The 23,479-nt window shown below is 52.0% G+C and overlaps 2 long non-coding RNA genes and 8 other non-coding genes across 10 annotated transcripts in view; all 10 read left to right on the forward strand.

The window, feature by feature from the left end:
- Positions 1-23,479, forward strand: part of SNHG14 (small nucleolar RNA host gene 14) — a 595,855-nt gene that overhangs the window by 223,575 nt on the left and 348,801 nt on the right. Inside the window, exons 24-32 of the long non-coding RNA NR_146177.1 lie at positions 3,920-4,054; positions 6,646-6,785; positions 9,301-9,440; positions 11,973-12,112; positions 12,275-12,536; positions 14,124-14,231; positions 14,768-14,906; positions 17,533-17,673; positions 22,938-23,077. This is a non-coding gene — a long non-coding RNA (small nucleolar RNA host gene 14). The remainder of the gene's footprint in view (positions 1-3,919; positions 4,055-6,645; positions 6,786-9,300; positions 9,441-11,972; positions 12,113-12,274; positions 12,537-14,123; positions 14,232-14,767; positions 14,907-17,532; positions 17,674-22,937; positions 23,078-23,479) is intronic.
- Positions 4,294-4,390, forward strand: SNORD116-1 (small nucleolar RNA, C/D box 116-1). The gene has a single exon (NR_003316.1). It is a non-coding gene; the product is annotated as a small nucleolar RNA, C/D box 116-1 (small nucleolar RNA).
- On the forward strand, positions 7,027-7,123 carry SNORD116-2 (small nucleolar RNA, C/D box 116-2). The gene has a single exon (NR_003317.1). It is a non-coding gene; the product is annotated as a small nucleolar RNA, C/D box 116-2 (small nucleolar RNA).
- On the forward strand, positions 9,677-9,773 carry SNORD116-3 (small nucleolar RNA, C/D box 116-3). Its single transcript, NR_003318.1, has one exon. It is a non-coding gene; the product is annotated as a small nucleolar RNA, C/D box 116-3 (small nucleolar RNA).
- Positions 12,355-12,452, forward strand: SNORD116-4 (small nucleolar RNA, C/D box 116-4). The gene has a single exon (NR_003319.1). It is a non-coding gene; the product is annotated as a small nucleolar RNA, C/D box 116-4 (small nucleolar RNA).
- Positions 15,150-15,246, forward strand: SNORD116-5 (small nucleolar RNA, C/D box 116-5). Its single transcript, NR_003320.1, has one exon. It is a non-coding gene; the product is annotated as a small nucleolar RNA, C/D box 116-5 (small nucleolar RNA).
- Positions 17,680-22,937, forward strand: LOC128966705 (uncharacterized). The gene is made up of 2 exons (XR_008485583.1): positions 17,680-18,272; positions 20,227-22,937. It is a non-coding gene; the product is annotated as an uncharacterized LOC128966705 (long non-coding RNA).
- SNORD116-6 (small nucleolar RNA, C/D box 116-6) lies at positions 17,843-17,940 on the forward strand. Its single transcript, NR_003321.1, has one exon. It is a non-coding gene; the product is annotated as a small nucleolar RNA, C/D box 116-6 (small nucleolar RNA).
- Positions 20,605-20,701, forward strand: SNORD116-7 (small nucleolar RNA, C/D box 116-7). The gene has a single exon (NR_003322.1). It is a non-coding gene; the product is annotated as a small nucleolar RNA, C/D box 116-7 (small nucleolar RNA).
- On the forward strand, positions 23,249-23,345 carry SNORD116-8 (small nucleolar RNA, C/D box 116-8). Its single transcript, NR_003323.1, has one exon. It is a non-coding gene; the product is annotated as a small nucleolar RNA, C/D box 116-8 (small nucleolar RNA).

Here is a 23,479-nt window from a genome sequence, read left to right on the forward strand (position 1 = left end):
TATGTCTTTGCTCTTGTGAATACCACAGTGATGAACATTGAAGTGCATGTGTCTTTTGGTAGAATGATTTATTTTCTTTTGGGTATATACCAGAAATGGGATTGTTGGGTGAAACTGTAGCTCTGTTTTAAGTTATTTGAGAAATTCTCAGACTGTTTTCCTCAGTGACCGGACTAATTTACATTCCCACCAACAGTGTTTAAACATTCCCCTTTTTCTTCAGGCTTGCCAGGATCTTTCTCTTTTTTGCTTTTAATAATAGCCATTCTGACGTTGTGAGATACTATCTTATTGTGGGGTTTTTTTTGTTGTCGTCGTTGTTTGTTTTTCGAGACAGAGTCGCCCAGGGTGGAGTGCAGTGGTGTGATCTCTGCTCACTGCAGCCTATGCCTCCCGGGTTCAAGCGATTCTCCTGCCTTAGAGTCCCAAGTAGCTGGGACTGCAGGCGTGTGCCACCATGCCTGGCTACTTTTTGTATTTTTAGTACAGATGGGGTTTCACCATGTTGGCCAGGCTGGTCTCGAACTCGTGACCTTGAGTGATCCACCACCATGGCCTCCCACTGCTGGGATTACAGGCATGAGCCACCGCATCGGGCCCTTATGGTGGTTTTGATTTGAATTTCTCTGATGATTAGTGATACTAAGAGCATTTTTTCATATGTTTGTTGACCATTCTATATCTTCTTTTGAAAAGTGCCTCTTAATGGGGTTGATTTTTGCTTGTTGATTTATTTAAGTGCCCTATAGATTCAGGATATTAGGCTTCTGTCAAATGCATAGTTTGTCAATGATCTCTGTTCGCCAATGATATGGTTCTATACCTAGAAAATGCCTTCTTTAAGAAAATAAAATTGTATTTTGTGGATGTATCACATTTTCCTTATATATCTGCTTTGGGCATTTGGGTTGCTTCTGCCTCTTGGGCATTATGAATAATGCTACAGTGAATATGGATATGCAGATGTATGTTTGAGATCTTGCTTTGAATTACTTTGGATATATACCCAAAAGTGGGATTCCTGGATCATATGGTAATTCTATTGTTAATTTTTCAGGAACCTCCATACATTTTTCCACAATGGCTGTACCATTTTATGTTCCCATCAACAGCATGCAAAGGTTCCAGTTTCTCCACATTGTCACCAACACTTGCTGTTTTTTATTTCACTCTTGTTGCCCAGGCTGGAGTGCAATGGCACTGTCTTGGTTCACTGCAACCTCCACCTCCTGAGTTCAAGCGATTCTCCTGCCTCAGTCTCCCCGAGTAGCTGGGATTACAGGTGCCTGCCACCATGCCCAGCTAATTTTTATATTTTTAGTAGAGACAGGGTTTCACCATGTTGGCCAGGCTGGTCTTGAACTCCTGACCTCAGGTGATCCACCTGCCTTGGCCTCCCAAAGTGCTGGGATTATAGGCCTGAGCCACCACGCCTGGCTCGTTGTTTTTCAATTGTATCTTCTAATGGATGTGAGGTGATACCTCATTATGGTTTTGATTTGCATTTGTTTAGTAATTAGTGATACTGAGCATGTTTTCATATACCTGTTGTCCATTTGTTTATCTTCTTTGGAAAAAAATCTATTCAATTACTTTGCCCCTTTTTTAAAATTAGGGTTTTTTGTTGTAATCTGAGTTTGTTCCCTCCCTCCCTCACTCTCTCCCTCCCTCTCTTCCCTCCTTCCCTCCCTCCTTCCTTCCTTCCTTCCTTCCTTCCTTCCTTCCTTCCTTCCTTCCTTCCTTCCTTCCTTTCTTCCTTCCTTCCCTCCCTCCCTGTCTCCCTCCCTGTCTCCCTCCATGTCTCCCTCCCTGTCTCCCTCCCTCCCTCCCTTCTTTTCTCCCTTCCTCCCTCCCTTCCTCCCTCCCTTTCTCCCTTCCTCCCTTCCTTGATCACATCCACATCCTTCCTTCCTTCGTGCTGTGTTGCTCAGCATGGAGAGCAGTGCCAAAATCATGGCTCACTGCAGCCTCAACTTTCCAGGTGCCAGAGAGCCTCCCACCTCGTGCTCGTGGGACCACAGGCACATGCCAACACGTCTAGCTAATTGTTTTTTAATTTTTATTTTTTGGTAGATATGGGGGTCTCACTGTGTTGCACAGGCTGGTTTCAAACTCATAGGCTCAAGGAATCTTCAAACCATGGCCTCTCAAAGTGTTGACATTACAGGCATGAGTTACCATGCCCATCCTGCATGTGAAAGCCTTACGAGATATGATATGCAAATATTTCTCTCATTTGGTACGTTTCCTCTTTCATTCTGTTGATTGTTTCCCTTCATGTACAAACATTTTAGGTTTGATGTAGTCTTGCTTGTCTGTTTTTGCTTTTGTTGGTTATACTTTTAGTGTCACATTCAAAAACTTATTGACAAAAACAAGAAGGGTTTCCATGTGTTTTCTTCTAGTTTTACAATGTCAAGATGTATCTTTAAGTACTTAATTTATTTTGAGTTGATTTTTGTGTATGTTGTAAGGTAAGGATTCAGTTTACTTTTTTTTTTTAATTTGCGGATATCCAGTATGCCAAATATGATTAGTTAGATAAACTGTGCTCTGAGCACCCATGTCAAAGATAAATTGAGTAGAGTACATGGATTTATTTCTGCATTCTTCATTCTTTTCCATTAGATTATGTCTGTTTTTTGCCAGTATTCTAGTATTTTGAATTACTATAGCTTTGTTATATACTTGGAAATCAAGAAGTGCCTCCACCTTTGTGTTTCATGCTGAATATTGATTTAGCTATTTTGGTTCTTTTGTGGATCCAGATAAATTGTATGATTTTTTTCTCTATTTCTGGAAAAATGTGATTGTGATTTTGATAGGAATTATAGTGAATCAGTAGATAACTTTGGGTAGTATGGATATTTTGACAATATTAATTAGTCCCAGTGGTGGTGTTGAGGCCGTGTTGACCTGGAGGCACTGGGGTCAGTGATAGTGTTGTCAAGTTGGCTGCAGGATGGGATGGTGCCTGGGAGGTCAGTGCATAAAAATCCTATGGATGTGATCAAGGAAAGGGTGATGGAAGGTGATGTGTCCTGTCTGCTTGGTCCTTGTAGGATCAGGCAGGACATCCTGTAATAAAAGGAGACATTACCTTCGGATGTCCTGAGGGCATGGTGCAGGCACCAGGACTGAGTGGAGGGGAGGAAGCTCATGTCTTGAGGTCCTTTGGCTACATGGGGAAGACTGTCTCTGGGCTTGATGCTGAGTTCCAGACTGACGTGCTGGCTGTTGTGATGGTGCTCTCCAGTGCTGGTTGTGGTTGGTTTTTGGCTAGGTACACCTCACCTGGGACAGTGGCCAAAGACAGTGTCAGTTCCAGACATCAGAAGCCCCATGAGGAAGAGCATGTGCTCGCGCCAGGAGTGGTGGCTGTTAGGGGAGGGACCTCAGACCTATGTCTGCATGGCCTGAGGTCAGAGTTCACATCCTACTGATTGAAGACCTTGTTCTTGAGCTGTCCGGTTGCCACAGGGTCGGACCTGGAGGCTGCAGACCATCGTGGCCCTTTGCAGTGTTCGGAAACATATGCGCACCCCAGGGAGGGACACACACACACACACACACACACACACACACACACACACACACGCAAACTCACAAACACAACACACAGACAGAAAATGACAAATAAACACACACACTCACACACACACACACAGGAGCCCACAGAAAAAAGCAAATAGACGCAGAAACGGGCACGTGCAGTAGTTCTGGCCACACATGTTCCCTAGGTATCCACAGAATGGCATGGGTATTGTATATTCATAAAGATGGAGATCAGTCATGGAGGCCAAGGACAAGTAGGTGCACTGGTTGAACTACAGTAGAGAATGGCATGGAAGTGGTGAGCAATGGACCTGGGCCTGTTTCTCAAGTGTGTATTTGATTTCTTTACAATTCCCCGGAGAAGTTGTCATGGGAGGCCAGCCGCCTGCTGGCAAGGAAGATGGTTGATTCTTCTGATCAATGGAGGCCCTGCAGAGTCCTGTAGTCACTGTGGCCTGGCATCCATGGTGCACCCAATGCTGGTGGATGGCTTAGGACGGTAAGCATTCCTCTGCCCCACGTGCTGAATGAGAGTGGCTTTTGGATGTCCTATACCTTCAAGGAGCTGTTTGTCAGCAGCGAATGACATGGCAAGTTCCACTCCTAGAGTGGATGGTCTGTGCCCATTGCTCAGTGGTGCAGCTCTGGCTTCCCCAGCATGCTGAATGTCTTTAAGGTCATCAGCTCGCCCCTTCCCAGCCTGTGGTGTCAAATGTCTTGCCCCTTGTCAAATGTGCTTGGATCGATGATGAGTCCCCTATAAAAACATTCCTTGGAAAAGCTGAACAAAATGAGTGAGAACTCATAACGTCATTCTCATCGGAACTGAGGTCCAGCATGTTGCTTCCTCTGGGGCCTGTAGGAGTGAGGGACAACTTCCACTGATTCCCATAGGTTCCACCACCCAGGGCATCCACAGACAAAAGTCTCGTGTCACAGGCACGTTAGGAACATTCCCTCTGTGTGAGGTACATGGGTGGGAGAGTGATGGGGGATTCGGCCGCTCTGTGATGGCGTGGTGGCCGTGGAAGCAGGCAGAAATGTTGCAGGCCTAGGGGAAGTGGAAATGTTGCCAGCACAGGGGTGTGTGCTACTGGTAAGCTCCCAGAAGGAAGACCCGGACCTCACAGTGGTCATCTCAGTGCAGAAGACCAGGTGTCTGTTTTCATGTCGAGGAGAGCCCAAGGCCCAGACCTCAGGCAGACCTTGGTGTTGATTTTTGATTAGTTGAGAACAGGGGAGTGCCAAGGTGTTAGGGGAGAGTGCAGAGCAATAGGTGTCGGGGCAAACAGTGAAAGCCTCTTCAGCCTACCCTGCAGCATTGGTCACCAGGAGCCCTCCTGGAAGGGATTTCTTTGCCTCCTGAGCTGTGAGATGCCTGTGGTGCAGTGGCAGAGGCCTAGGTAGGAAGGTACTCCAGGGGAAAGGTGGTAGAGGGATCACATGGACATGAGTGTCATTAGCAGGCTTGGGCTGTCATTCAGGGGTGATGGGCTTCCCATGGATTTTTCTGGTGGAAGACAGGTTGGCCAGCAGGGGTCTTCGAGGCCAGGTCCTGGGGAGCACGAGGATCGAGTTGGTGCCCGTGGCCCTGGGTCACTTCCAGTCTTCCCAGGAGAGTAATGGGCTCCTCCATTGTGCAAATCTTCCTATAAATGGTCTCTTGGCCCGCCATTATTGGGCGGCTCCACCTGCTGCAGCTTGTATGAGCAAATACTGCTCTGGATCCTCTTTCCTGCTTGGAAAGCAGCTTCAGTCCTGAAGGTCCAGAGTGAATGTGCCCTGACCCTGGCTCTGGCCCAAGTCTGTGCCGTAGGTACTCGTCACACTTGGAGCTATCCATGGAGGTCTGTGTGCATTCCAGGCAACACGGGTGCAATCCCAGGGGTGCTGCCACAGAGTCCTTTTACTTGGGATGCCTCACACCTCTGCATGTTGGCAATATTTAAGTGTTGGAGTCCACTACACCCTAGGGGTGATGAACTGTTTTGGCTCCCTTAACCGGTTTGAAGTCTCAGCGCAGCCAGGACAGCCATGCCATGTTGAAGGGCATGCAGATGGCTTAGGAATGTTGGAAAGGATGGGTGGTTCTGAGCTCGCAGCTCACTCACTAGCTGCATGCATGTAGACCCAGTGGTGGTGTTCAGGTAGTGTTGACTTTGAGGCATTGCGGCGGGTAGTAGTGCAGTCAAGTTGGCTGCATAATGGGATGTTGCCTCAGAGGTCAGTACAGGATAGCCCTGTGGGTGTGTCCAATGCAAGGAAAATGAAAGGCAGTGTATCCCATCCGCCTGGTCCTTGGGACATCGGTAGGGGGGACGTCCCATTGGAAAAGCAGCCATTCCGTTTGTGTGTCGAGAGGGCATAGTGCAGGCACATGGACTGAGTGGAGGGGAGGAAGGCTGTGTCTTGAGGTCCTTTGGCTAGATTGGGAAGACCACCTCTGGCCTTGACGCCAAGTTTCAGGCTGATGTGCTGGCCATTGCAAAGGCGCCCTCCAGCACAGGTTGTGATTGGTTTTCCACCAGGTACGCCTCACCTGAGAGGGCGGCTAGAGACAGTGTCTGCTCAGGACATCAGATGTCCCGTGAGGAGGAGTGTGTACTCACACCAGGGGAGTTGACTGGTAGGCGAGCCACCTTGGGCCTATGTCCGCATGGTCTCCAGGTCAAAATTCACATCCTACTGATTGAAGGCCTTGGTCTTCAGCTGTTGGGTTGGCGTGGTGTCAGGCCAGGAGGCTGCAGACTATGACTGCCTGTTGCAGTGTTGGGAAACACACATGTTAGGAAACACATGTGCATGAGGGAGACACACACACACACATTCATACACACACACACACACACACAGAGGCATGCCGAGCCACAGGCAAATACATGCAGCAATGGGCGTATGTGACCACGTGCACTTTTAGGTATCCACAGAGTAACACATGTAAGATATATTCATGGAGATGGAGGTCAGTCGTGGAAGCCAAGGAATAACGGGTGTGCAAGTTGCCCAACGGGAAAGAATGGGATTGAAGTGTTGACCAGTGGACCTGAGCCCATTTCTCAAGCGTTTATTTGATTTCTTTACACTTCTCAGAGGCAGTTGCTGTGGGAGGTGTGGTAACTGCTGGAAGGAAGATGCTCAATTCTTCTGAGCAACGAAGGCCACACGGAGTCCTGGATTCTGTGTGGCCTGGCATCCATGGCGCACTGTGTGCTGGCAGGTGGCTCAGGACGGTAAGCATTTCTCTGCCCAGTATGCTGAATGAGGGTGTCTTTCGGATTTCCAAGACCCGCAAGGAGCAGTTTCTCAGCTAACCACTAATGGCATGGCGAGTTCCTCTCCTAGAGTGGATAGTCTGTGCTCATTGCTCAGTGGCATCGCTCTAGTGGGGCCGAAGGTCTTTAAGGTCATTGGCTCACCCACTGCCCAGCCTGTGGTGTCAAATATCCTGCCCCTTGCCCCTTCAAATGTGCTTGGATCGATGATGAGTCCCCAAAAAAAACATTCCTTGGAAAAGCTGAACAAAATGAGTGAAAACTCATACCGTCATTCTCATCGGAACTGAGGTCCAGCACGTTGCCTTCCCCGGGGACTGTAGGAGTGAGGGACAACTTCCACTGATTCCCATAGGTTCCACCACCCAAGGCATCCACAGCCAAAGTCTCCCATCAAATGCTCATTAGGAACATTCCCTTTTTGTGAGGTACACAGGTAGGAGAGTCCTGGGGGGAACGGCTGCTCTGTGATGGCCTGGTGGCCATGGAAGCAGACAGAAATATCGCAGGCCTAGGGTAGTGTGCGCCTGATCTTGGCTTGGTGAGCTCCTAGGAAGGGAGACGCGGACCTCGTGGCAGGCGTCTCTGAGCAGAGGACTGAGTCCTTGTTTTCTTGCCGGGGAGAGCACAAGGCCCAGGCCTCAGGCAGATGTTGGTCCTGATTTTTGATTAGCTGAGGACAAGGGAGTGCCAAGGGTGATGGGGGACAGTGTATAACAAAGGGTGTTGTGACAGAGAGCCAAAGCCTCTTTGGCCCTCCACCCAGCATCCAGTCATGGAGGCCCCCCAGCAGGGATTTCTTCATCCCCTGAGCCGTGAGATGCCCCTGGTGCTATGGTGGAAGCCTGGACTGGAAGGTACTCCACAGAAGAGGTGGTAGGGGGCTTATGTGGACATGTGTGTCATCAGCAGTCTTGGGCTGTTGTTCAGCGTTGATGGGCTTTCCATTTATTTCTCTAGTGGATGACAAGTTGGCCAGCAGAGGTGTCAGAGGGCAGGTTCCAGGGAATACAAGGGTCAGACTTGTGCTCCTGGCCCTTGGTCACTTCTCGTCTTCCTGACAGAGTAGTGGGCTCCACTGTTGGGCACATCTTCCTGGAAGTCGTCTCTTGGCCCGCCATTGCCGAGCGGCCACACCTGCTGCAGCTCGTGTGAGCAAATATGGCTCTGGATCCTCTTTCCTGCTTTGAAAGCAGCTTCCATCCTGAAGGCGTCCAGAGGGTATGTGTCCTGGCCCTGGCCAGGAACTCTGCTGTGGGCATTGGTCACACGTGGCTATCCATGGAGATCCGGGTGCATTCCAGGCAACATTCTAGGGGCCTGCCATGGAGAGTTCGTTGACTTGGGATGCCCCTGCACCTCCCATGTTGGTGATGTTCCAGTGTTGCATTCTGCTACACCCTAAGGGTGATGAAGCATTTCAGCTCCCTTAAACAGTTTGATGTCACAGTGCAGCCAGGACAGCCATATCATGTTGAGGGGCCCACGACTGCATTAGGAATGTTGGAAGGGATTGGTGGTTCTGCAGATCGCAGCTCATTAGTAGCTGTTTACTTGTAGACCTGGTGATGGTGCTGAGGCAGTGTTGACTTGCAGGAGTTGGGATGGGTGGTAATGCAGTCAAGTTGGCTGCATGATGGGATGTTGCCTCAGAGTTCTGTGCAGAGAAGCCCTGTGGGTGTAACCAGTGCAAGGACCATGGAAGGCAGTGTGTCCTGTCAACCTGGTCCTTGGGGAAGGGACGTCCTGTTGGAAAACAGCCATTCCCTTCGGTTGTCCTGAAGGTGCAGTGCGGGCATGTGGACTGAGTGGAGGAAGCCCGTGTCTTGAGATCCTTTGGCTAGGTTGGGAAGATTGCCTCTGGCTTGATGCCATTTTCAGACCTATGGGTTGGTAATTGTGAAGGCGCCCTCACGTGCTGGTTGTGGTTGGTTTTCCGCCAAGTGAGCCTCACCTGGGAGTGCAGCCAGAGACAGTGTCAGGTCACAACATCAGATGCCCCATGAGGAGGAGCATGTGCTCACTCCAGGGGTGGTGGCTGTTAGGTGAGGGACCTCAGGCCTATGTCCTCCTGGCCTGATTTTACATCCTACTGATTGAAGACCTTGGTCTTGAGCCTTCGGGTTGCAGGGGCTTCAGGTCTGGAGGCTGCAGACTATGGCCTCCTGTTGCGGTGTTGGGAAACACATGTGCATGAGGGAAACACACATACACTATCACACACACAAACAGGCGCTCACAGCCACAGGCAAATATACGTAGCACCACGTGCGTGTGGTCGTTCCGGCCACACGTGCTTCCTAGGTGTCTAGAAAGTGACACAGTCAGATACATTTATAAAGATGGAGGTCCATAATGGAGGCCAAGGAGAAGCGGGCATGTGTGTTGCTCTGTGGAAGAGAGTGGCGTTGAAGTGACCAGTGAACCTGGGCCCATTTCTCAAGCATGCATTTGATTTCTTTACACTTCTCAGGGGCAGTTATCATGGGACACCCGCCATATGCTGGCAAGGAAGATGGTCAGTTCTTCTGAGCCACAAAGGCCCCCAACATCCTGGAGTTGGTGTTGCCTAGCATCCACGGTGCGCCCCCTGCTGGTGGATGGCTCAGGATGGTAAGCATTCCTCCGCCGCACATGCTGAGTGGGGGTGGGATTTCCAAGACCTGCAAGGAGCTGTTTCTCAGCAGGCCACTGATGGCATGGCGAGTTCCACTCCTAAAGTGAACGGTCTGTGCCCATTGTTCAGTGGTGCAGCTCTGGCTTCCCCAGCGTGCGGAGGGTTTTTAAGGTCATCGGCTTGCCCACTGCCCAGCCTGTGGTGTCAAATATCCTGCCCCTTCAAATGTGCTTGGATCGATGATGAGTCCCCCATAAAAACATTCCTTGGAAAAGCTGAACAAAATGAGTGAGAACTCATACCGTCGTTCTCATCGGAACTGAGGTCCAGCACATTGCCTCCCCCGGGGACTGTAGGAGCGAGGGACAACTTCCACTGGTTCCCAGAGGTTCTACCACTCAGGGCGTCCATGGATGAAAGTCTCACATCACAGGCACAATAGAAATATTCCCTCTGTGTGAGGTATACAAGTAGGAGAGTCATGGGGGGATTGGCTGCTCTGTGATGTCGTGGCAACTGTAGAAGTGGGTGGAAATGCAGACCTAGGGGAGTGTGCGGCTGGCCTTGGCTTGGTGAGCTGCCAGGAAGGGAGACCCTGACCTCCTGATGGGCCTCTCTATGTGGCGGACCAGGTCTTTTTTTTATGCCAAGGAGAGCACAAGGCCCAGACCTCAGACAGACCTTGGTCTTGATTTTCAGTTATCTGAGGAGAGGGGAGTGCCAAAGTGATGGGGGACAGTGGAGAGCAATGGGTGTTGTGGCAGACAGCCAAAGCCTCTTTGGCCCTCCCCCCAGTGTTGGTTACAGGGGCCCCTGGCAGCAATTTCTTTGGCTCCTGAGCCATGAGTTATCCATGGTGTGGTGGCTCAGCCTGGGCAGGACAGTACCCCAGAGAAAAGGTGGTAGAGGGCTCACATGGACACGCGTGTCATCAGTGGTCTTGGGCTGTCATTTGGCAGTGATGGGCTTTCCATGGATTTCTATTGTGGATGACAGGTTAGCCAGTGGGGCCTTCAAGGGCAGATCCAAGGAGCATGAGTGTTGGGCTGTAGCCCGTGGCCCTCGGTCACTTCTGGTCTTCCCGGCAGAATAGTGGGCTCCACCGTTGTGCACATCTTCCTGGAAATGGTCTCTTGGCCCTCCATTGCTGAGCAGCCCCACATGCTGCAGCTCTTGTGAGCAAATAACTGCTTTGGATCTTCCGTCCTGCTTTGAAAGTGGCTTCCATCCTGAAGACTTTCAGAGGGAATGTGCCCTGGCCCTGGCCCTGGCTCGGAACTCTCCTGTGGGATTCGGTCACACTTGGAGCTGTCCATGGGGGTCTGTGTGCAGTCCAGACAATGCATATTTAATCCTAGGTGCCTTCCATAGAGAGTCCCTTGATTTGAGTTGCCTCTACTCCTCTGCATGTTGGTGATACTCAAGTGTTGGATTTAGCTACGCCCTAGGTGTGATGAACTGTTTCAACCCCGTTAGTCTCAGCGTAGCCAGGATAGTCATGCCATGTTGAAGGGCATGCAGATGGCTTAGGAAAGTTGGAAAGGATTGGTCATTCTGCGGCTCGTGGCTCACTTAGTAGCCATGTGCATGTAGACCTGGTGGTGGTTGTCAGATGTCGTTGAGCAGGTGTTGGGGAGGATGGTCCTGCATCCAAGTTGGCTGCGTGGTGGGATGTTGCGTCGGAGGTCGGTGCAAGGAAGGCCTTTGAGTGTGATCGATGCAAGGATGATGGAAGGCACTGTGTCCTGTCTGCCTGGTGTTTGGGGCGTTAGGCAGGGATGTCCCATGGGAAAAGCAGCCATTCCCTTTGGGTGTCCTGAGGACATGGTGCAGGTACATGGACTGAGTGGAGGAGAGGAAGCCCGTGTCTTGAGGTCATTTGCCTAGGTTGGGCAGACTGCCTGTGGCCTTGATGCTGAGTTTCAGAGTGACGTGCTGGCCGTTGCAAAGGCGCCCTCCAGTGCTGGTTGTGTTTGGTTTTGTGCCAGGTGTGCCTTTCCTGGGAGTGCTGCCAGAGACAGTGTCTGGTCACGACATCAGATGCCCCGTGAGGAGGAGCTTATGCTCAGGCTAGGGATGGTGGCTGTTATGTGAGGGCCCTTGGGCCTATGTCTGCATGGCCTCGAGGTCAGAGTTTACATCCTGCTGATTGAAGGCCTTGGTCTTGAATTGTTGGGTTGGTAGGGGCTCAGGTCTGGAGGCCGCAGACTATGACTGCATGTTGCCATGTTGGGAAACTCGTGTTGGGAAACACATGTGCATGAGGGAGATACACACACACACACACACACACACACACAGCCACTCAGCAATGTGTGTGTGCGCGGTCGGTCTGGCGCCACACACAGCTCCAAGCTGTTTGCAGAGTGCCACTGGTAAGGTACATTCATGGAAACAGAGGTCACTCATGGAGGCCAACAGAAGCAAGGCGTGCAAGTTGCCACGCATGAAAGAATGGCACTGAAGTAGTGACCAGTGGACCTGGGCCTGTTTCTCAAGCGTACATTTGATTTCTTTATACTTCTCAGGGGCAGTTGCCGTGGGAGGCCCGCTGCCTGCTGGAAGGAAGATGGTCAGTTCTTCTGAACCACAAAGGCCCTGCAGAGTCCTGGAGTCTGTGTGGCCTGGCTTCCAGGGTTCACCTCATGCTGGTGGATTGCTCAGGATGGTAAGCATTCCTCTGCCCCATGTGCTGAGTGACGGTGTCTTTTGGATTTCCAAGACCCATAATGAGCTGTTTCTCATGAGGCCACTAATGGCATGGTGAGTTGCATTCCTTGAGCAAATGGTCTCTGCCTTTTGCTCAGTGCCATGGTTCTATCTTCCCCAGGGTGCCGAAGGTCTTTAAGGTCGTCAGCTCACCTACTGCCCAGCCTGTGGTGTCAAATGTCCTGCCTCTTCAAATGTGTTTGGATCGATGATGAGTCCCCCCAAAAAAACATTCCTTGGAAAAGCTGAACAAAATGAGTGAAAACTCATACCGTCGTTCTCAGCGGAACTGAGGTCCAGCGCGTTGCCTCCAGCAGGGACTGTTGGAGTGAGGGAGAGCTTCCACTAGTCCCTATAGGTTCCACCACCCAGGGCATCCGCAGGTAAATGTCTGCCATCACACGCACATTAGGAACATTCCCTTTGCGTGAGATACACTGTTAGGAGAGTCACGGAGGGATTGGATGCTGTGTGATGGCGTGGCAGCTGTGGAAGTGGACGGAAAAATCTCAGGCCTAGAGGAGTGCGTGGCACTGATGAGCTCCCAGGAAGGGAGACCCGGACCTTGTGTCAAGCTTCCTCGCACACAGGACCGGGTCCTGGTTCCCCTACTACAGAGAGTATGAGGTCCCAGCCTCAGGCAGACCTTGGTCTTGATTTTCAGTTAGCTGAGGACAGGGGAGTGCCAAGGGTGATGGGGAAGAGTGCAGAGCAATGGGTGTTGTAGCAGATGGCCAAAGCCTCTTCGGCCCTTCCCCCAGCGTTGGTCCCAGGGTCACCCCAGCATGGATTTCTTTGCCTCCTGAACCGTGAGATGCCCATGGTGTGGTGGTGGAGACCTGGGTAGGACATATTCTCTGGTATTCCAGAGAAAAGGTGGTAGGGGGCTCACATGGACAGGTGTGCCATCAGTGGTCTTGGGCTCTCATTTGGTGGTGCTGGGCTTTCCGTGTATTCCTCTGATGGATGACAGGTCGGGCAGCAGGGGTCTTCAAGGGCAGTTCCCAGGCGTGTGAGGGTTGGGCTGCTGCCTGTGGCCCTGGGTCACTCCGATCTTCCTGGCAGAGTAATGGGCTCCACCGTTGTGTACATCTTCCTGTAAATAGTCTCTTGGCCCGCCATTGCCAGGCGGCCCCACCTGCTGCAGCTTGTGTGAGCAAATACTGCTCTTGATCCTTTTTCTTGCTTTGAAAGCAGCATCCGTCCCAAAGGCATCCAGAGGGAATGTGCCCTGGCCCAGGCCCAGGACCCTCCCGTGGGTTCCAATCATGCATGGGGCTGTCTGTGGAGGTCCGTGTCCATTCCGGGCAATGCGTGTGCAATCCCAGGGGTGTTGCCACGGAAAGTCTCTTGACTTGGGATGCCTCCACGCCTCTGCATGTTGGCAATGTTCCAGTGTTGGATTCCGCTACTCCCTATGCATGATGAAGCATTTTAGCTCCCTTAGCCAGTTTAAATTCACAGTGCAGCCAGGACAGCCGTGCCACTTTCAAGGGCACTTGGTTGGCTTAGGAAAGTTGGAAAGGATTGGTGGTTCTACAGTTCTCAGTTCACTTAGTAGCTGCATGCATGTAGACCTGGTGGTGCTGATGCAGTGTTGACTTGCCAGTGTTGGGGTGGGTAGTAGTGCAGTCAGATTGGCTGCATGAGGGGTTATTGCTTCTGAGGTCGGTGCAGGGATGCCCTGTGGGTGTGTCCAATTGAAGAACGATGACAGGCAGTGTGTCCTGTCAACCTGGTCCTTGGGAATTCAGGTAGGGACGTCCTGTTGGAAAAGCAGCCATTCTCTTTGGGTGTCCTGAGGGAACGGTGCGGGCACATGGACTGAGTGGAGGGGAGGAGGCATGTATCTTGAGGTCCTTTTGCTAGGTTGCTAGTCCTACCTCTGGCCTTGATGCCAAGTTTCAGACTGACATGCTGGACTTTGCAAAGGCGCCCTCTGGAGCTGGTTGTGGTTGGTTTTCCGCCAGGTGCACCTCACCTAAGAGGGTGGCCAGAGACAGTGTCTTGTCATGACATCAGAAGCCCCATGAGGAAGAGGAGGAGCCTGTGCTCCTGCCAGAGGTGGTGGCTGTTAGGTAAGAGACCTGTGACCTGTTTCCACATGGCCCGGAGGTCAAAGTTCACATCCAGTGATCGAAGGCCAGGGTCTTGAGCCATCGGATTGCTGGGGGGATCAGGTCTGGAGGCTGCAAACTAGAACTGCCCATTGTGGTGTTGGGACCCACATGTGCATTAGGGAGACAAACATGCCCATTTAAACTAACATTCTCACACATGCACACACCCACACCCACCCATACACACACACTCTCATACACTCACACTCAAACTCACACTCTCTCTTTCACACACACACACACACACACACAGGCACAGACAGCCATAGGCTAATAGATGCAGCGATGTGCACATGGTGTGGTTCTGGCCACATATGCTTTTAGGTGTCCACAGAGTGACGCAGGTAAGGTATATTCATGGAGCTGGAGGTCAGTCATGGAGGCCAAGGAGAAGCAGGTGTGTGAGTTGCCCTGTGGGAAAGAATGGTGTTGAAGTGTCCAGTGAACCTGGGCCTGTTTCTCAAGCATGCATTTGATTTCTTTACACTTCTCAGGGACAGTTGCCGTGGGAGGTCCGCTGCCTGCTGTCAAGGAAGATGGTCGATGCTTCTGAGAAACAGGCCCTGCGGGTTCCTGGATTTGGTGTGGCCTGGCATCCACGGTGCACCCCGTGCTGGCGGGTGGCCCAGGACGGTAAGCATTTTTCTGCCCCGTGTGCTGAGTGATGGTGCCTTTAGAATTTCTGAGACCTGTGAGCAACAGTTTCTTGGCAGGCCATTAATGGCATGGCGAGTTCCATTCCCAAAGTGGATGGTCTGTGCCGGTTGTTCAGTGGCGCGGCTCTGGCTTCCCTAGGGTGCCAAAGTTCTTTAACGTCATCGGCTTGCCCACTGTCTGGCCTGTGGGTGTCAAATGTCCCACCTCTTCAAATGTGCTTGGATCGATGATGAGTCCCCCATAAAAACATTCCTTGGAAAAGCTGAACAAAATGAGTGAGAACTCATACCGTCGTTCTCATCAGAACTGAGGTCCAGCACGTTGCCTCCCGTGGGGACTGTAGGAGCGAGGGACAACTTCCACTGGTTCCCATAGGTTCCACCACCGAGGACATCCACAGGCCAAAGTCTCCCATGAAATACTCGTTAGGAACATTCCCTCTGTGTGAGGTACATGGGTGGGAGATTTGTGGGGGCACTGGCTGCTCTGTGATGGCGTGGCGGCCATGGAAGAGGGGAGAAATGTCGTGGGCCTAGGGGAGTGTGTGGCTGGTCTCAGCTTGGTGAGCTTTCAGGAAGGGAGGCCTGGACCTCATGGGTGGCATCTCCATGCAGAGGACAAGGTCTCACTTTTGCTACCAAGGAGAGCACAAGGTCCAGGCCTCAGGCAGACCTTGTTCTTGATTTCTGGTTAGCTGAGGACAGGGAAGTGCCAAGGGTGATGAGGGAGAGTGTGGAGCAATGGGTGCCACGGCAGATGGCCAATGGCTCTTCAGCCCTCCTGCCAATGTTGGTCACAGTGTCCCCCCAGCACGGATTTCTTTGCCTCCCGAAATGTAAGATGCCTGTGGTTTGGTGGTGAAGGTGTAGGCAGGGTGGTATTCCAGAGAAAAGGTGCTAGAGGGCTCTCGTGGACATGAGTGTGCATTGGGCTTTAATTTGGCAGTGATAGGCTTTCCATGGATTTCTCTGGTGGATGACAGGTCAGCCAGGGTGGGTCTTTGAGGGCATGTCTCTGGGTGAGTGAGTGTGAGGATGGTGTCCATGGCCCTGGGTCACTTCTGTTGTTCCCAGCAGAGTAGGGGGCTCTACTGTTGTGCACATCTTCCTGGAAATGGTCTCTTGGCCTTCGTTGTCGGGTGGCCCCACCTGCTGCTGCTCTCGTGAGCAAATACTGCTCTGTATCATTCCCGCTTTCCATCCCAAAAGTGTCCAGAGCGAATGTGCCCTGTCCCTGGCCTGGGACTCTCCTTTGGGCTCCAGTCATGCATGAGGCTACCCGTGGAGATCTATGTGCATTCTGAGCAGTGTGTTTGCAATCCCAGGGGCATTGCCACAGAGAGTCTTGACTTGGCATGTCTCCATGTGACTGTGTGCTGGCGATGTTCCAGTGTTGGACTCCAAAAGTCCCTAGGCGTGATAAAGCATTTCAGCTCCCTTAGCTGGTTTGAAGTCACAGAGCAGGCAGGACAGCCATGCCACTTTCAAGGGCATACAGTTGGCACAGAAAAATTGGAAAGGATTGGTGGTCGTACATCTTGCAGCTCACTTAGTAGCTGCATGCATGTAGACCGGGTGGTGTTGATGCAGTGTTGACTTGCTGGCATTGGGGTGGGTGGTAGCATGGTCAAGCTGGCTGAGTGATGGGATATTGTCTCAGAGGTTGGTGCAGGGAAACTCTGTGGGTGTGTCTAATGCAAGGATAATGACAATGTCCTGTCTGCCTGGTCTTTGGGGGGTCAGGTGGAGATGTCCTTTTGGAAAGGCAGCCATTCTCTTTGAGTGTCCAGAGGGCATGGTGCAGGCACATGGATTGAGTGGAGGGAAGGAAGCGTGTGTCTTGAGGTCCTTTGGCTAGGTTGGGAAGACTACCTGTGGCCCTGATGCTGTTTCAGAGTGATGTGCTGGCCATTGCAAAGGCGCCCTCCAGTGCTGGTTGTGGTTGGTTTTCCATCAGGTGCACCTCACCTGGTAAAGGGGCCAGAGACAGTGTCTGGTCATGACATCAGATGCTCTGTGAGGAGGAGCATGTGCTCGTGCCAGGGGTGCTGGCTGTTAGGCAAGGGACCTTGGACCTCTTTCCTCATGGCCTTGAGGTCAAAGTTCACATCCTATTGATTGAAGGCTGGGGTCTTGAGTCTTTGGTTTAGTGGGGTTGGTTCCGGTCTGGAGGCTGCAGACTATGACTGCCCGCTGGGGTGTTGGGAAACACATGTGCATTAGGGGGACACACATCCACACAGAGACACACTCATGCACACATGTGTGCACAGCCACAGACAAATAGATGCAGCAATGGGTGTGTGCAATCGTTAGGCCACACACACTTATAGGTGTCCATGGAGTGACACAGGTAAGGTATGAATGGGTCTTTGAAGGCATGTTTCTGGGCGAGTGAGTGTCGGGATGGTGTCCATGGCCCTGGGTCACTTCTGGTCCTCCCAGCAGAGTAGTGGTATGAATATGGAGATGGAGGTCAGTCATAGGGTCCAAGGAGAAGCAGGGGTACGAGTTGCCCCGTGGGAAAGAATGACATTGACGTGGTGACCAGTGGACGTGGGCCTATTTCTCAAGCGTGCATTTGATTTCTTTACACTTTTCAGGGGCAGTTGCCTTGAGAGGCCCACCGCCTGCTGGCATGACAGATGGTCAGTTCTTCCGAGCAGTGGAATCTCCATGGAGTCGTGGAGTCGGTGTGGCCTCGCATCCACAGTGCACCCTGTGCTGGTGGATGGCTCAGGACAGTAAGCATTCCTCTGCCCCGCATGATGAGTGAGGGTGTCTTTAGAATTTCTGAGTCCCACAAGGAAGTTTTTCAGCTGGCCATTAAGGGCATTGTCGAGGCCTTTAAGGTCATCAGCTCGCACACTGCCCAGCCTGCAGTGTCAAATGTCCTGCCTCTTTGAATGTGGTTGGATCGATGATGAGTCCTCCAAAAAAAACATTCCTTGGAAAAGCTGAACAAAATGAGTGAAAACTCATACCGTCATTCTCATCGGAACTGAGGTCCAGCACATTGCTTCCTCTGGGGCCTTTACTAGTGAGGGACAACTTCCACTAGTCCCTATAGGTTCTAACACCCATGGCGTTCACAGGTGAAGGTCTCCTGTCATATTACAAACATTCCCCCCACTCCCCTCCCAAAAAAAGGAACATTTCCTCTGTGTCAGGTACACAGGTCAGAGAGTCATAGGGTGACTGGCTGCTCTGTGATGGCATAGTGGCCGTGGAAGTGGATGGAAATGTCGCAGGCTTAGGGGAGTGTGGGGCTGGCCTCGGCTTGGTGAGCTCCCAGGAAGGGGGACCTGGAAATCGCTGCGGGCATCCTTGCATAGAGGACCAGGTACGTGTTCCAGTTCTGCTTTCAAGGAGAGCATGAGGCCCAGGCCTCAGACAGTCCTTGGTCTTGATCTTTGGTTAGCTGAGGACAGGGGAGTGCCAAGGGTGATAGGGGAGAGCGCACAGCAATGGATGTTGTGGCAGACAGCTAAAGCCTTTCTGTCCCTCCTTTCACGGTCAGTCCCAGGGGGCCCCCAGCACAGACTTTTTTCACCTCTCGAGCTGTGAGATTCCTGTGGTGTTGTGGCCAAGCCTGGGCAGGAAGGTACCCCAGAGAAAAGGTTGTAGAGGGCTCACGTGGACATGCATGCCATCAGTGGTCTTGGGCTGTCATTTGGTGGTGATGGGCTTTCCAGGGATTTCTCTGGTGGATGACAGGTTGGCCATTGGGGGTCTTCAAGGGCAGGTCCTAGGGAGCATGAGGGTCGGGCTGATGCCTGTGGTCCTGGGTCACTCCATTCTTCCTGGCAGAGTAGTAGAAGTGTCCATCTTCCTGGAAATGGTCTCTTGGCCCGCCATTGCCAGGCGGCCCCACCTGCTGCAGCTCGTGTGAGCAAATACTGCTCTGGATCCCATTTCCCGCTTTGAAAGCAGCTTCCATCCCAAAGGCGTCCAGAGGGAATGTGCCCTGGCCCTGGCCCTGGCCTGGGACTCTCCGATGGGGTCCAGTCACACTTGGCGTATTCATGGAGGTCCTTGTGCATTCCAGGCAACACATGTGCAATACCAGGGGCACTGCCGTGGAGAGTCTCTTGATTTGGGATGCCTCCTCGCCTTTGTGTGTTGGCGATGTTCCAGTATTGGATTCTGCTACATCCTCAGGGCAATGAAGCGTTTCAGCTCACTTAGCCGGTTTGACATCATAGTGCAGCCAGGACAGCCGTGCCACATTGGCATGGCACATAGTTGACTTAGGACAGTCGGAAAGGGTTGGTGGTTCTATGTCTCGCAGCTCACTTCATAGCTGTTTGCATGTAAACCTGGTGATGGTGTTGAGATGGTGTTGACTTGCTGACGTTGGGGTGGTTGGTAGTGCAGTTAAGTTGGCTGCATGATGGGATGTTGCCTCAGATGTCGGTGCAGCGAAGCCCTGTAGGTGTGTCCAATGCAAGGAAAATGAAAGGTGGTGTGTCCTGTCCACCTTGTCTTTAGGGGTTCAGGCAGGAATGTCCTGTTGGAAAACTAGCCATTCCCTTTGTGTGTCCTGAAGGCATGGTGCGGGCATGTGAACTGATTGGAGGAAGGAAGTGTGTGTCTTGAGGTCCTTTGGCTGGGTTCAGAAGACTGTCTCTGGCCTTGATGCCGTGTGCCGTGTTTAAGACCAACGTGGTGGCCATTGCAAAGGTGCCTTCCAGTGCAAGTTTTGGTTGGTTTGGTGTCAGGTGTGCCTTACCTGGGAGAGCGGCGAGAGACAGTGTCTGGTCACGACATTATATGCCCCGTAAGGAGGACTGTGTGCTTGCACCGCCAGGGGTGCTGGCTGTTAGTCGAGGGACATCAGGCCAATGTCTGTCTGACCCCTAGGTCAAAATTCGCATCCTACTGATTGAAGGCCTTGGGTCTCGAGCCTTTTGGTTGCAGGTGTGGGGATGGTTTCCAGGTCTGGAGGCTGCCAACTATGACAACCCGTTGTGCTGTTGGGAAACATCTGTGTGGGGGAGACACATACACATAGACACACTCACTCTGACATACACACCTACACATGCACAGGCGTGCACAGCCACAGGCAGATAGATGCAGCAATGGGTGTGTGCTATTGTTGTGGTCACATGTGCTTCCTAGGTGTCCACAGAGTGACATGGGTCAGGTATATTCATGAAGATGGAGGTCTGTCATGGAGCCCAAGGAGAAGCCGGTGTGCAAGTTTCCCTGTGGGAAAGAATGGGATTGAAGTGGTGACCAGTGGACTTGGGCCCGTTTCTCAAGCATGCATTTGATTTCTTTACACTTCTCAGCAGCAGTTGTCATGAGAGGTCTGCCGCTTGCTGGCAAGGAAGATGGTCAATTCTTCTGACCAACAGAGGCTGCCTTGAGTCCTGATTTGGTGTGGCCTGGCATCTATGGTGCACCCAATGCTGGTGAGTGGCTCAGGGTGGTAAGCATTCCTCTGCCCTGTGTGCAGAGGTGTCTTTTGAATTTTGAGACCTGCAAAGAGCTGTTTCTCAGCAGGCCACTAATGGCATGGCGAGTTCCACTCCCAGAGCTGATTGTCTGTGTTCATTGCTCAGTGGTGTGGCTCTGGGTTCCCCCCAGGATGCTGAAGGTGTTTAAGGTCATCAGCTCTCCCACTGCCCAGCCTGTGGTGTCAAATGTTCTGCCTCTTCGAACGTGCTTGGATCGATGATGAGTCCCCCATAAAAACATTCCTTGGAAAAGCTGAACAAAATGAGTGAGAACTCATACCGTCGTTCTCATCAGAACTGAGGTCCAGCACGTTGCCTCCTCTGGGGACTGTAGGAGCGAGGGACAACTTCCACTGGTTCCCATGGGTTCCACCACCCAGGGCATTTACAGATGAAAATCTCCTATCACATGCATGTGAGGAACATTTCCTCTGTATGACATAGACGGATGGGACAGTTGTGGAGGGATTGGCCACTCTGTGATGTTGTGGCAGCCACGGAAGCAGGTGGAAGTGTTTTGACCTAGGGTTGTGTATGGCTGGTCTCGGCTTGGTGAGCTCCCAGGAAGGGAGACCCGGGCCTCGCAGCAGGTGTCTTTATGTAGAGGACCAGGTCACAGTTCCCCTGCCAAGGAGAGCATGAGGCTCAGGCCTCAGATAGACCTTGGTCTTCATTTTCCACTAGCTGATAATGGGAGTTCCAAGGTGATGGAGGAGAGCACAGAGCAATGGGTGTCACCGCAGATGGCTAAAGCCTCTTTGGCCCTCCTTCCAGCATCAGTCACAGGTGCCCCCTGGCATGGATTTCTTTGCATCCCTAGCCATGAGATGACCATGGTGCAGTGACCAAGGCTTGGCCAGGATGGTACCCCAGAGAAAAGGTGGTGAAGGGCTCATGTGGACATGTGTGTCATCAGCTGCATTGGGCTGTCACTTGGTGGTGATGGGCTTCCCATGGATTTCTCTGGTGGATGACAGGTCAGCCAGGGCGGGTCTTTGAGGGCATGTCTCTGGGCAAGTGAGTGTCGGGATGGTGTCTGTGGCCCTGGGTCACTTCCGGTCTTCTCAGCAGAGTAGTGGGCTCCACCGTTGTGCACACCTTTCTGGAAATGGTCTCTTGGCATGCATTGTTGGGTGGCCTTACCTGCTGCAACTCATGTGAGCAAATAACTGCTCTGGATCCTCTTTCCCGCTTGGAAAGCAATTTCCATTCTGAAGGCATCCAGAGGGAATGTGCCCTGGCCCTGGCCTGGGATTCTCCAGTGGGTTCCAGTCATGCATGGGGCTATCCACGGAGGTCTGTGTGCATTCCAGGCAATGCGTATGCAGTCCCAGCGGCATTGCCACAGAGAGTCTCTCGACTTGGGATGACTCTGCGTGTTGACAGTGTTCCAGTGTTGGATTCCGCTATGCCCTAGGCGTGGTGAAGCATTTCAGCTCCCTTAACTGGTTTGAAGTCTCAGCACGGCCAGGACAGGCATGTCACGCTGAAGGGCACACAGTTGGCTTAGGAAAGCTGAAAAGGTTGGTAGTTCTACGGCTTGCAGTTCACTTAGCAGAAACGTGCTTGTGGACCCCGTGGTGTTGAGACAGTGTTGACTTATAGGCACTGTGGTATGTAGTAGTGAGGTCAAGTTGGCTGTGTGATAGGATGTTGCCTCAGAGGTCGGTGCAGGGAAGCCCTGTAGATGTGTCCAGTGCAAGAATGATGACAGGCGGTGTGTCCTGTCAACCTTGTCCTTAGGGGGTCAAGTGGAGATGTCCTCTTGGAATAGCAGCCATTAGCTAGGATGTCCTGAGGGCACGGTGTGGGCATGTGGACTGAGTGGAGGGGAGGAAGCCCGTGTCTTGAGATTGTTTGGCTAGGTTGGGAAGACTGCCTCTGGCCTTGACACTGAGTTTCAAACTGAGGTGCTGGACTTTGCGATGGTGCCCTCCAGTGCTGGTTGTAGTTGGTTTTCCACCACATGTGCCTCACCTGAGAGGGCAGCCAGAGAGAGTGTCTGGTCACAACATCAGATGCCCTGTGAGGAGGAGTGTGTGCTCATGCCAGGCTTGGTGGCTGTTAGGCAAGGGACCTCGGGCCCATGTCCGCATGGCCTCAAGGTCAAAGTTCACATCCTACTGATTGAAGGCCTGGGTCTTGAGCTTTTGGGTTGTGAGGAGGTTCAGGTCTAGAGGCTGCAGACTATGACCACCCCTTGTGGTGTTGGGAAACATATGTGCATGAGGGAGACACACATACACACACACACAGACACACTCTCTCTCTCACACACACACACACACACACACACAGGCGTGCATAGCCACAGGCAAATAGATTCAGCAATGGGCACATGCTGTCGTTTCGGTCACACACGCTTCCTAGGTCTCCACAGAGTGACACGGGTCAGGTATATTCATGGTAATGGAAGTCAATCATGGAGGCCAAGGAAAAGTAGGTGTGTGAGTTGCCCTGTAAGCAAGAATGGCGTTGAAGAGGTGACCAGTGGACCTTGGTCTGTTTCTTAAGCATGCATGTGATTTCTTTACACTTCTAAGGGGCAGTTGCCGTGGGAGGCCTGCCGTCTGCTGAAAGGAAGATGGTTGATGCTTCTGAGCAATGAAGGCCCCATGGAGTCCTGGATTCGGTGTGGCCTTGCATCCGTGGTGCACCCCGTGCTGGTGGATGGCTCAGGACGGTAAGCATTCCTCTGCCCCGCATGATGACTGAGGGTGTCTTTAGGATTTCTGAGACCCACAAGGAGCAGTTCTTCAGCAGGCCATTAAGGGCATGGCTGTGGTCTTTAAAGTCATTGGCTCACCCACTGCCCAGCCTGTGGTGTCAAATGTCCTGCCTCTTCAAATGTGCTTGGATCGATGATGAGTCCTCCAAAAAAACATTCCTTGGAAAAGCTGAACAAAATGAGTGAGAACTCATACCGTCGTTCTCATCGGAACTGAGGTCCAGCACATTTGCCTCTGCCGGGGACTGTAGGATTGAGGGACAACTTCCACTAGTTCCCATAGGTTCCACCTCCCAGGGCATCCACAGGCCAAAGTCTCCCATCACACACAGGTTAGGAACATTTCCTCTGTGCGAT

The sequence above is a fragment of the Homo sapiens genome, chromosome 15, assembly GCF_000001405.40.
Source record: "Homo sapiens chromosome 15, GRCh38.p14 Primary Assembly".
NCBI classification, from domain to species: Eukaryota; Metazoa; Chordata; class Mammalia; order Primates; family Hominidae; genus Homo; species Homo sapiens.